A 13,246-nucleotide genomic window follows, 5' to 3' on the forward strand; every position below is an offset into this window, starting at 1 on the left:
CGGGGTTTCACCATGTTGGCCAGGATGGTCTTTATCTCTTGACCTCATGATCCCCCCGACTCAGCCTCCCAAAGTGCTGGGATTACAGGCGTGAGCCACTGCACCTGGCCCCAGATATTTATTGAATGAATAGATTAATGTGCTGAAAATCTGAATTTGAGTGTGCGTGTGTGTGTGTGTGTGTGTGTGTGTGTGTGTGTCGGAGTCTTGCTCTGTTGCCCAGGCTGGAGTGCAGTGGCGTGATCTCAGCTCACTGCAACCTCCACCTCCTGGATTCAAACGATTCTCCTGCCTCAACCTCCCAAGTAACTAGGACTACAGGCGTGTGCCACCATGCCCAGCTAATTTTTGTATTTTTAGTAGAGACGGGGTTTCACCTTGTTGGCCAGGATGGTCTTTATCTCTTGACCTCGTGATCTGCCCGACTCAGCCTCCCAAAGTGCTGGGATTAAAGGCGTGAGCCACTGCACTTGGCCCCAAATATTTATTGAATGAATAAATAGATTAACTTGCTGAAAATCTGACAATTTTTTTTTTTTTTTTTTTGAGATGGAGTCTCGCTCTGTCGCCCAGGCTGGAGTGTAGTGGTGCGATCTCGGCTCACTGCAACCTCTGACTTCCGGGTTCAAGCAATTCTCCTGCCTCAACCTCCTGAGTAGCTAGGACTACAGGCGTGCACCACTGTGCCCAGCTGATTTTTGTATTTTTAGTAGAGATGGGATTTCACCATGTTGGCCAGACTAGTCCCGAATTTCTTGGCCAGACTGGTCGAACTCCTGACCTCGTGATCTGCCCGCCTCAGCCTCCCAGAGTCCTGGGATTACAGGCATGAGCTATCGCGCCCGGCCTGAACATTTTTGTCTTAAGTTCTAACCTGTTGTGTTCTACCTACCTAGGAAAACTTGCTACCTCTCAAATTTAGTATGTTTAAAGCCAGTCTCTGCTACTTTCCTATCAAAACAAAGTTTCTCAGCTTTCCTATTTTGGCCAAAGGCATTCTCCAAGTTCCCTAAGTTCAAAAATTGGCTATGAAGTATAAGAGATAGTATTCTTTCACGTCATTGCTGTCATCCTGCATTGTCATAAAAGCTTCTAAATCTTCAGTCTCTCCTTTCCAAGTCAATGTAATCATTACCAGATTGTTCCAAAGCAGTGTTTTAGCCATGTCAACCCCTTATTCAAGTGCCTACTGTGAACTCTTGACTGAGGAGACCACAAGTCTACTTTTCTAAAGAGCCTTCAGGGTACTGCACAGTCTGTCCTTTTTTTTCTCTCTCTTCTCACTTCTGACTGTCCAACAATAAACACTAGTAGCAATGGCAATAAACATAACTCTTAGTATGTGCCAGGTAATGTTTAAGCACTGTTTTAAGTGTTTTTCATATATTAAATTATTTAATCCTCAGATTAAACAATAATAAATGTGTATATTGTAATACTAGTAATGTAGACATTAAATCACTTGCATGTCTAATAAAAGTAGGATTTGAGCCCAGGTCGTCTAGTTCCCAGAGTCTGTACTTTTAACTAATCTGCCATTCTGCCTTTCAGTAACACTCTTCTTTAAGTCAAGTCACTATGTTTTTTGTTTTGTTTTGTTTTAAATGTGTCTTTTAAGATACCATTTGCCCTGTTGTAGCTCTCTTCTTCCCATATGAAAAAATATCCCCACCTTTTCCCACTGTTAACCAGAATTTCCTGTTTTTATTGAGGTGTAATTCAAGTCTTATAAAATCTGTCATAGGTATTTCATCCCACAGCCTTTTTCCCTCTAAGTTTCTATCAGCTCTTCACACAATATTTTAACACATTTCTTCTTGGCTTGTGTTGTTTTGTTTATAGGTTTTATTTTGCCCACAAGATTTTAAGATTAATGTTATCTGCATCTTGATGCTTTCTCAGTTCAATTCCTCTTTCTAGACATTTGTAAAATGTTACATAAGGTTAATGATCCTGAGCCTCATCCTGATCCATTGGGCAACCCCATGCTTCTCTATCTAACCTGACAAAGCAGTGTTTAAATCTCAGCTCTGCCTAAGTGTGACCTTAGGGTAGTTACACTTACCTATCTTTCCTCATTTCTAAACTATAGAAAAGAATATCTACATTGTGGAGTTGTATTGAATATTAGAGATAACATGTATAAAGCACTAGCACACAGAGATTTCTTTTTAAAAGGTCTCTATTCATGATCATCTCAAAAGCATAATCATCTCTATTATAAGGCATGTTTTATTAGTGTCAGTATTATAAATTTGTTCAGGCTAGAAATAAGATGAATTATTGTGTTGTTCCCAGGGTTCCTTTTAGAACCTGTCTTATTGAAGACTTTTCTATTAGCAGTCTGCTATCTTCTGACAGACTGGCTATTTATAATAACAAGCCAACAGTTCCATTATTTCTTTAAACCTCTTGGTTAGGTGCCACCTGGTCTATGTAATTTAGTTGCATGTAATTTGTTTATTGGATGTAAAATACTCAGTGCATTTACCACAATTTGGGCTAATAGCTCTGATCAGTCTCCTTAAAAAGGCAGATTGCCAATACAATTTAGAAGGCTTTATAATGTAGTTTTCAGTTTTGGTGGCTGTTTTGGATTTAGATTTGTTCACTGTGCATGCTTTGTTTCATGAATCTTTAAGTTCTTTGCTTCCATCTGACACCATGTGTTTGAGGTTGCATTTTATGAATGGGAAACTTTGCAAATGCTTACTAAATGATTTAACATTTATTTCTGCCTCATGTGTTCTTAAAAATACCAGCTGCTGCTTAGTTGAAAATGTAATTTAATTTGACTGACACATGAGTTTTATAGTTCATAAACATGGATGTATTTTCCTTGTTTGTATTCATAAGCCTGTTAGTCCATATGTTAATGTGTTCTTTGATTTAATTTCATTTCTTTATTTTAAAAATCGATAAAAACAACAACAAAAACCTTGGGAAAGCCTTCATACTTGCTACATTTTTGAAAACATGCATCTATTTTTTGGAGATCACACTTATGCCTACAGAATTTCTTCCCATTTTAGTGGTTTCCTAAGGTTTCTATTTTAGGAGTTTTATTATTATGTTAACAGAGAACAGCTTTTGATATTGATATAATTTTGTAGTGTATTTATAGAAACAAGTGCATTTTGGATGTGTGAAAGACATATTTCTCCTAAGTTGCTTGGTACAGTTTTAAAAGCCTAATGGTTAGATTTAGTTAAACATGGTGGACTGTTATAAATCCATTCATGTATATAGATGATTCTTAATAATTTGAGAGTGAGAAAGCCTCTTGAAAGATTATTACTTTGTCTCCTCTCCAGAAAAGTTTATATGTAGACAACCGCAGATTTAAGGACCCCCTGGAGACCTGTTGGGGAATTGGGATAGTACAGGGGTCCCCAAGCCCCCAGCCGTGGTCCCGTACCTGTTAGGAAATGGGCCGCATGGCAGGAGGTGAGCGGTGGGCCGGCAAGCATTACTGCCTGAGCTCTGCCTCCTGTCAGATCAGTGGTGCATTAGATTCTCGTAGGAGCGTGAACCCTATTGTGAACTGTGCATGCAAGGGACCTAGGTTGCACACTTCTTACGAGAATCTAACTAATGCCTGATGATCTGAGGTGGAACAGTTTCATTCTGAAACTATTCCCCCGGTGGAAAAGTTGTCTTCCACAAAAGTAGTGCCTGGTACCAAAAAGGTTGGGGACCCCTGGGGTATGACATGTATATGTGTAAGTATAAGACACTATATAAGATCTTGAAGAAAAATATAAATAGATTAACGTAAATACTCTAAGCAGGGAGCAATTAATATAGGTACATGTGGCATAGGGGTACAGGACAGGGCAAGCTTCATGGAGATAATGGAATTTGAAGTACTGACAGGCATTCAGAAGACAAAGCCAGTTCTACACAGGGTCAAGAAAGCAACTGACCTGTTTGGCTACCCATGAGTACTGAAATTTCCTTAAGGATAATGACTTTCTGATTGATCCTCAAGTTCCACATTGTGCCTAGTATGGATACAGTTATCTTACTCATTATGTAAGCTCAGCAAACTACTTGCTGAATTCAGCCACAGTTTTTACTCGTTGTGCTTTCTGAGACCACTTTTCTCTGTGTTCTAACATGTTGCATGTTTGCCTTCACACATATTTTTATTCAGGGAAAAAAGTTAAATTATGTAATTTCAATGACTATGTGCTTTGGTTGGCTTTAAAAAGAAATTTAAAACTTAAGTTTTGTATTAGCAGGAAACAGCTTTTGATATTGGTCTAATTTTATATTTCTTAAATTGTGTCTTTGGCAACAGTTACTTTTTGGGTGTGGAAAGAAACATTTCTCCTCAGCTCCTTGGTTAGCTTTTAGGGAAAAGTTAAAATGGTCATGAAAGCATCAGATAAACTAATAGTAACCCCAACTGAGTATACTTTTGTTTAAATAAAAGCCAAGTGAAGTCTGTACTGCCATGGTAATATAATGCAGAAATAATAAGTTAATGTATGTAACAAATAATCAAAGTTTATAGACTACATTCTTAAGAGATTATTTTTTTCCTCCCTTTGGAAAGTAGTGATATCTAAGGGGAAGAGGGTGTGGGGGACTGGCATTTTCTCAACATTCATAGTTGGATAACAAAATCCACCTAAAAATAAAACATGTACTCATATGCAAAAATGCTAAACTTACTTTTTTGATTATTGACCTTTCTTTGCACAACTCTAAAACATACTTGTCACAGTTTTGTTGACTGGTGATTTCTTGCCATTCCTACAGTAGAGCAGTAAGTCCTGTGCCAACAAACAATTTATATTATTTTAATTAGTTTTTTAAAAAATCACTTTCTGCCTGATTTTATCTCCTGTGTTTATAATGTTATAATATGAGCTATTAATTTAAACACATTTAAAAAGTACGTTTAATTGATTCAAGTAATATTTAATACTGGCCTACCCTGTGTCAGGCTATTTCATAGGTGCTATGGAGGCTATAAGATAAACAAAGTATTAATTTCTTGGGGCAGTCATATCTCCTACAGATTTAGTTTTTTTTAGTAATAGGATAATATTATTCTGATTTATCCACACTGTTGTCTCTTTCAGAAATCTAACTTGAATTGGTGGGATAGTTTTAGAGAAGTCAAGAATAATGTAGAAGATAATTTTTCTCTGTGCCAAGTCAACTGACCTGACTGGGATTGAATATGTAGACCTCATTTCTCTTACCTAGCTTTCAGATCCAGTCTGAATAATTGCACATCCTTTTTACATTTGGGAACTTGACTCTTTGGGCTTTCCCTGGCCCTTTGGAACATGACTCAGGTTTTATTTTTATTGAATTATAGCAGAGTGTTGAATCATTATAATGCTGATAACTAAAACAGAACTAATATTAGACTTGGAAATTCTTCTAAAAAATTAATATGCCTGTTTCTTAAAAACACTTAACACTCAAACACTCTGAGACATACCATTGTGGAATGCTCATAAGGTAATGTATTTCAAGAGTTTCTTACTATCATTAGTATCCAGAACTATATATACTCAAAAGTATTTCAAGTATTCAAAACTATGTATATATATGTTTGCCCTCCTAATTTTTATTTTATTCAACCAATATGCAAATAATGATCTATCTGATCCTTCATTTTTGCTAATAGTCTAAAGGTCATACAATAAGTAGTTTAGGTCTGGGTTTATTTTTACTTATAACAGAATATTATTTTTAAAGTGAGACGTAATAACATGTTTTGACACTTTCCAGATCTTTCATGTAAAAAAATTCTGCCACACATCCAACTATATTCTTATGGTACAAAGGTTACTATTTTGGAGGCTAGCTTTAGGAAAGATCAAATAGCTAGATAGAACCAGAGTAAGCAACTTCAGCCTGCAGGTATTTTTAAGTTTTTAAAAAGCTTTGTAAAGGAATTTTACAGAATATTTTGGATGATCAAGCTAGTGATATGAATTGGTTTTATCTGACTCATTTCTGTGTGTTAGGCATGGTATTAAGCATTTTTAAAATATTATTTTACATATGACAAGAATATTGTCATTCTCATTTCAGAGGTTAGGAAACTGAGGGTTACAAAAGAAGTAATTTGCTCAAGTTCATCCCACTAATTCATGGCAGAGGTGGGAATTGAATGCTCAAGGTCTGGTAACTCCTAAGCCTGATTACAGCAAGTTTCTACCTCTTTAGAGCAAAACAGATTAATGCTTTGAGTCCTTTTAATGTTTTAGCTTGTATCCTCATCTTTTATTTACTTCAGTAAGTTTTTATAATCAATTGTAAAAGACAAACCACTGTCTTCCTTATAACATAATTTTTTTTTTTTTTTTTTGCTTTGCAGGTTTTAAATGCACAGAGAGCAGGATACAAGGCAGCCATAGTTCACAATGTTGATTCTGATGACCTCATTAGCATGGGATCCAACGACAGTAAGTACAGGTATCACTTTTCTTCTCTCCTGTTTGACAGATCATTTGTAACTAAAAATTAACAGGATTTTCCTTCTCTCATTTTCTTTTTAAAAAGCAAAATTTCTTCTCTATCAGATAATCCCTCATTCTTAACTCTGGATGATTTTATTCATAGTAGAGATGAAAATGACTTTCTTTTCTGAACAGTTTTTTTTTAAACATATATGTTTTATTTATTGATATTTTGTTAAAAACCAAAATGGGGGAAACAGCTTTAATAGGGATAAACATGCTGAGTTAAGAATGCCATAGAGGGTGTTTTGTAATTTATTTAGAGATTCACAGCATTATTTTAGGGTATGCACATACACTAAGTAGCTGCTATAATCTGCTGGAGTTCCAAAGCCACATACTTGTGCTTCCTTATACCAGTTGGTTATTAGCCCTTCGTCATACATTGGTATGTTCATAGTTTTTCATTTCAGATGGGAATGTCTTTCTTTACTCTCTACTAATTATTAGCTTGTAGGGAAAAACGAGCCAATTTTAGTGGCATAACTGGCTGTAATAAGACACTGACTTTGAAGCTGTATGCCTCACTTAATGTAGTTTCTATTACTCAGGGCACTATGGGGTTTTATCAAAACCTTTCTAATTGATACTAAGATGATTTACTGTCAACACTCATGATTAGAATTTATTTTATTCTTTTGAGTGCATAACCATAATATATTTTGTTATTAAGTCCTATTGATTCATATTTTCAGGGTAGAGCAAAGTATAGACATAAAGCTATAGACTGATAGAAAACACTGGAATGTATTTAGGAGTTTAAATAACTGCATCCTGAAAAGGAAATATTTTATATTCCTTAACCAAAAAGTCTTCTTTTAGCCTATGACAGTGTTTTCTGTTGTTTTTGTTTTTGCCCTTCTTCTTTATTTTTTTTTTTTTGAGATGGAGTTTCACTCTTGTTGCCCAGGCTGGAGTGCAATGGTGCGATGTTGGCTCACCGCAACCTCTGCCTCCTGGGTTCAAGCGATTCTCCTGCCTCAGCCTCCTGAGTAGCTGGGATGACAGGCACCTGCCACCACGCCTGGCTAATTTTGTATTTTAAGTAGAGATGGAGTTTCTCCATGTTGGTCAGGTTGGTCTTGAACTCCCGACCTCAGGTGATCCGCCCACCTCAGCCTCCCAAAGTGCTGGGATTACATTCGTGGGCCACCGTGCCTGGGCATTTTTGTCCTTCTTAACCCTAATAGAGTGAGGCAAAATTATAATATGTAAAAAGTAAAATTTATTAATACATTTCTTAATTTCTTTATATTTTAAATTATTATTTTAACCTCCTAGCTAATTAAATCTTCATGACTGTAGAATCCATTAAGTACCCATAAGAAGTTTTAGCATTTCAGGAATAGTTTGACAGCTACTACATGGGAATTACAGGACTTACTTAAGTGAGTTTACTTATCAAATAAACTGGTAATGTTAGTACTGCCAATTTGACACATTTTACTTCTCCTTTAACTATTTCCCTCTTAAAAAAAATTATCCCAGTTGATACATCCCATGGTCAGTAACTTTTGTGATCTGTATACATTTACTGGCAAAATGGAAAGCATGCGTAGTCTGGAAATGGATAGGCCTGAATTCGAAATCAAATCCTACTTGTATCAGTTGTATAACTTTGAGCAAGTTACTTACTCTTTGTGTGTTTTGCTAAAGGCCCAAGCCCAGGATTTAGCAAACCTTCAGGACCTTCTCAAGGGCTGAATATGTTTTGGATTGAACAAATTGATTATTATTTGTAAACTATTTACTCTTTTGACATGTTTTCAGTAAAAATTTTGCAGGCTGAAATTGTCAGTTCCCTTTATCACTTATTTTTTCTTTGTAATACTGTAAAACCTTTTTGTGATAATCATGTCAGCTCCTAAAGAAAATATGTTCAATATTAAAAGTAGCACACAACCATATAAGCCTGCTGTTGCCATGGAAATGTTTCAACTGAGTTGTTGTTCAAAGACTGCTCAGAATTTTGGTTCTTGACTTTGTTGCTTAGATTATTTTCTATGATATTTTGCTCCATCTTTGCGCATGTGTTTAAACGTTTTATATGTACAGAGACAAATGTTGTAAAGATCTTTACCATTTTCATGTTTGCTATTACTTGGTAGAGGTAAGAAAAGCATAGATTTATCAGAAGAGGCTTGTATCTGTCCCTCTTTTCAAGGCCTTTCCTAGGAATACTGGTATCTTATACCAAGCAGAGATACTAACGCCTGGAAACAAAAGGAAGTTGTAAAAGCCCCTTCCTGTTGACACTTCACGTAAGGAATATACCAATTTTTATTTCAGCCAGGAACAGAATGGATTAATTCAGTGAGCCAATAACATTCTTTATCTTTAGGAGACAGCAGAAAGTGGTAGGAAGGACACCAACTTCAGAACCAGGAAATATGTGTTTATTCTAAGCCAGGCTAGTTGTTATGTGAACCAGATACCTGCGCCCTCAGGAAAGTTACTTAATCTTTATAAGCACATTATTTTCATCTATAATAGTGTGAATAATTTTGATAATTATTTGACCTGACAAATTTGTGAAAACCTTATGAGAGAAGGTATATGAGAAAACCCATGCAATGGCAGAGTGAGAGGAGCCTAGATGAGGAGTCAGAAGCCTCCAGTTTGAGTCCAGACTGTGCAAATATCTAACTGTATAACCAGGTCAAGTTGTTAATATCTCTGGGTCATTTTTTTTTTCCTTTTTTTCTTTGATTTCTTTCTTCAACAAATGCATTTTGACAGCCTACCCTGCACTGTTTTAGGCACTGTGACTATAGGAAGTAATGATGCAGTCAGAGGCTCTGCCTTCATATCTTTCATTGAGGTAGTAGAGTGCAGTACTTAAGAGAGTACTTTCCGGGTACTGCTTGTTAGGGTTTGAATCCCAGCTTTACCACCTAGTAGCTGTATGACCTTGGGTATATTACCTAATATCTATATGCTTCAGTTTTTCTGATCTGTGAAATTAGGATAATAATAGTACCTAAGTTATTTAGTTGCGATGAAGATTGAATGAATTAAGGCCTGTTAAGTGTCTAGAGGACTTCCTGGTTCTTAGCAATCATTTAATGATTGTTCAGATATTATTATTGTGATTATTATCATTTTATTGCATTCTAGAGTAGGAGAGAAGAAATGAACACATAATCAAATAGATGTGCTATAATGTCAAGTAGTGATAAATGCTATGAAGAAAAATATCAGCATAAGGGGATATAGAATGACAGAGATGAAAGGAAGGCAGCTATTTTAGATAGGGTGGTCAGAGAAAGCTTCTGTGAGGCATTGCAATTTGAGCACCGATCTAAAGTTAGAGGCTGAGTCATGCAGATTTCTGAAGGAGGGTATTCCAAGGAGACGGAACAACAAGTACAACAATTCAAAGATAAAGCATGCTTGGTGTTTCCAAAGTGTGGCATAAAGCCACAATGGCTAGAGTAGTGAACAAGGGAGGGAGTGGGGGGATAAGGTTAGAGAAGGAGCCAGGGGTCAAATATGATGGGCCTTGTCAGCCATGATAAGGACTTTGGAATTTATTCTAAATAAGTTTTAGGCTGGGCACAGTGGCTCAGGCCTGTAATCCTAGCACTTTGGGAGGCCAAGGCGGGAGGATTGCCTGAGCTTAGGAGTTCAAGACCAACCTTGGCAACATTGTGAAACCCCATCTCTACTAAATATATAAAAAATTAGCCAGGTGTGGTGGCGTGCATGCCTGTAGTCCCAGCTACTCAAGAGGCTGAACCACAAGAATCACTTGAACCTGGGAGGCGGAGGGTGCAGTGAGCCGAGATCGTGCCACTGCACTCCAGCCTGGGCAACAGAGCAAGACTCCGTCTCCAAATGATTGAATGAATGAATGAATGAATAAATAAAAAAAAATAAGTTTTAAACAGCTGTGTAAGGCAATATGACATATTTCATAAACGGAGCACTTTGCTGTTCTTTGGAGAGAACACTGAAGGTGAAAGGTGAGCAAAAGTGCCAACAGAGAGAACATTTAGAAAGCTGCTGCAGCAGCCAGGCAAGAGTAATGGTGGTTTGGAGTATTAGTAGTTAAAGTCATGAGAAGTGGTAGGAATATGGCTATATTTTGAAGCTGACAGGATTTGGTATAGGGAGTAAGGGAAAGGGAGGAGTCAAGGATGATTCCAAGATGTTTAGTCTGAGAAACTAAGTGAATGGCTATGCTGTTTACAGAGATGAGAAACAGAGTTGATCGACTGAGAGAAAAGAGACATTCAGAGTTCAGTTGAGAAACTTTGTTTGAAACATGTATTAGGCAATCAAATGGAGATATTGAATGGACAATTGGATATACGAATCTGGAGAGTTTGGGGCTGGATCATTCAAATTGTAATCTATCTTTGTCGATATGTACTTCACAGAGTTGTTTTACAGATCAAAATAGAGTGTTTTAAAAGTATTTTGTGAAGTAAAACATATTTAGTTTTGTTTTCAGTAGATAATGTTGCCATTTTCAAGATGGCTACTCATATTTGCTTACAATATTTTCTCCCTTTTTCTTAATCATTTTATTAAAGTAAGGAGCTTTCTACATCTCTTTAGATGTCATAATTCAAAGAAGCTAGGTTACTTCCAATATTATTAGCCAGTAGTTACAAACCAAAAGTTATTCCTTGAGTTTGTCATAGTATCTTCATGAAAGAAGAAAGCATCATACAATTCCAAGTTTTAAGTATCAAATAAAATAAGCTTTAAACTCATATGTGGTAGAGAAAATATCTTAGCAAAATAGAAAATATCTCCCAAATATAAAAAAAAATATAGTCCTATAACAATACCTCTGCATCTATTAAAAAAAAAAATGCAATAATGCCTGTAGCCCCAGCTACTTGGGAGGCTGAGACAGGAGGGGCACTTGAGCCCAGGAGTTACAGGCTGTAGTACACAATGGTGCCATCTGTGAATAGCCACTGCACTGCATCCTGAGCAACATAGTGAGACTCTGTCTCTAAAAAAATAAAAATAAAAATAAATGATGAGGTAGATCTGTATTTATTGACATAACAGGATATCTGAGCTGTATCATTGTGTAGAAAAAAAGCTTACACTTTAAAAATTATATGATCCCATTGATATAAAAAATAAAATTTTATTGATCATGTTGATATAAAAATAGTGATTAAATATTTCTTGACTAATATTTTTTGTTTCTGCCCTCTTTGGGGCTTACATGTTTTTTTCTGGTGTGTATGTGCGCGCATGTGTGCGTGTGTGTGTGTGTGAGAGAGAGAGAGAATGTATGAGAGTTGAACGTTTATATTTGCATAAAACAATCTAGAAGTGAAAAAAACTTACTCTACCAAGGATATCAAGATTTTAAACCTTGTCTTTATAAGGATGAAAACAATAACAGCAAAATAGATCAGTAATTTATAAGTTTAGGGGGTAGGGGTTGACTGTATGAGGGAATTTTGGTGGGTGATGGAACATTCTATATCCAACTGTAGTTGTGGTTATAATTGTATGTATTTGTCACAACTTACAGAACTGCTTATTACTTTAAATAAAACATTTGTCCTTGGATGGGAAAGATTATGATTTTGTTTTGTTTTCTTTTTCTTTACTTGCCTCCCCCCCTTTTAAATGCATAATGAATATGCATTGTTTTTAAAATGCAGAACAAAGTTATTTTGAAAACTATAAAAAGAAAACAAATGGGCCTTCTCTAAAGCCAAATGTGTTAAACTAACTCACAGCTAATAATGAGGCTGCTTTTTCTATTAGCAACATTAAGAGGATTGTTTTTCTTTCTATTCCTGAGTAATGGGTAATTTTGACGAAATTCTTTTTGGGTGGCATTTGATTTTGGTTTTGAATATGGGTAGAAGAGTCAAATATCTTAAGATACCAATCAAACACAAAACTTTGCCATGAGCGCCAGGCTTACAAGGAAATAGAAACCAGCTTTCCTGCCCTATTCCCTTTCTCAACCCCTGTCAGCCTTTCAGTCTGGAAAGCCAGAGATGTGTGGTATTACTTTTTAGATTGTTGTGAAGTTGTCTTTTCTTATATTCTCTGGCTTATACGTCTCCTGGAAATGGGTATGTAAAAGAAGCTTTTTCTCTTTTTCATTTAGGAATTAAGTTATGTGTGGGAAGAAAACCTAAAATTTCTTCATCTTTCTTCTCTAATAAGTTATGTCTAGAGAGGAAGAAATCAAATGGAAATATTAAAAATAAAAATTACATCTCAATCTTATAGACTATTGAGAGAATTCAGGTAATGTGTATATGCAAAATGTTAGCTTTGTTACTGTAAATGTTATGTTTCTCAACCATTTTGATGATGAATAAAATCTGCAATCTGGAAAATCAAGCAATAGACAATTAAAGTTGATTGTAATTGTTTCCAGTTGCATTTGCTGCTATTATGAAGAAAAGTTGATTATACACTAAATATGGGCTTTTAAGAATAATTTCATTATTCTTTTATACAGTTGAGGTACTAAAGAAAATTGACATTCCATCTGTCTTTATTGGTGAATCATCAGCTAATTCTCTGAAAGATGAATTCACATATGAAAAAGGGTAAGTAATGGATATAAAAAATCATGTTGCTTAAAATTCTTCTTTATATTAAGGTAGAATTATATAATATTGTAATCAAGATTATGTTTCAGAATGAACTCTGTAGTGCTAAATTATCCCTTTTTAAATCATTATGCTTTTAAGACGTAGTATTTTAAAGTATTTTACTACTTTTTCTTTGTATGATTATGTTGAAAATATATTCATGCT

The 13,246-nt window shown here is 35.7% G+C and overlaps 1 protein-coding gene across 16 annotated transcripts in view; it reads left to right on the plus strand.

Annotated features, from left to right (window-relative positions):
- RNF13 (ring finger protein 13) overlaps positions 1-13,246 on the plus strand; it is a 149,452-nt gene that overhangs the window by 76,439 nt on the left and 59,767 nt on the right. For 11 of the 16 annotated variants that reach the window (NR_165474.1, XM_047447380.1, XM_011512373.3 and 8 more), the window contains 2 exons: positions 6,347-6,434; positions 12,946-13,036. Coding sequence is in view for 15 of the 16 variants with exons in the window: in XM_047447380.1 (XP_047303336.1) it covers positions 6,347-6,434; positions 12,946-13,036 (179 nt within the window). In the remaining variant the exon portion in view is untranslated. Of the gene's footprint in view, positions 1-6,346; positions 6,445-12,945; positions 13,037-13,246 lie in introns of all 16 variants that reach the window. The other 5 variants (NM_183383.2, NM_001378288.1, NM_001378289.1 and 2 more) reach the window with 1 other exon arrangement.

The sequence above is a fragment of the Homo sapiens genome, chromosome 3 (assembly GCF_000001405.40).
Source record: "Homo sapiens chromosome 3, GRCh38.p14 Primary Assembly".
NCBI lineage: Eukaryota > Metazoa > Chordata > Mammalia > Primates > Hominidae > Homo > Homo sapiens.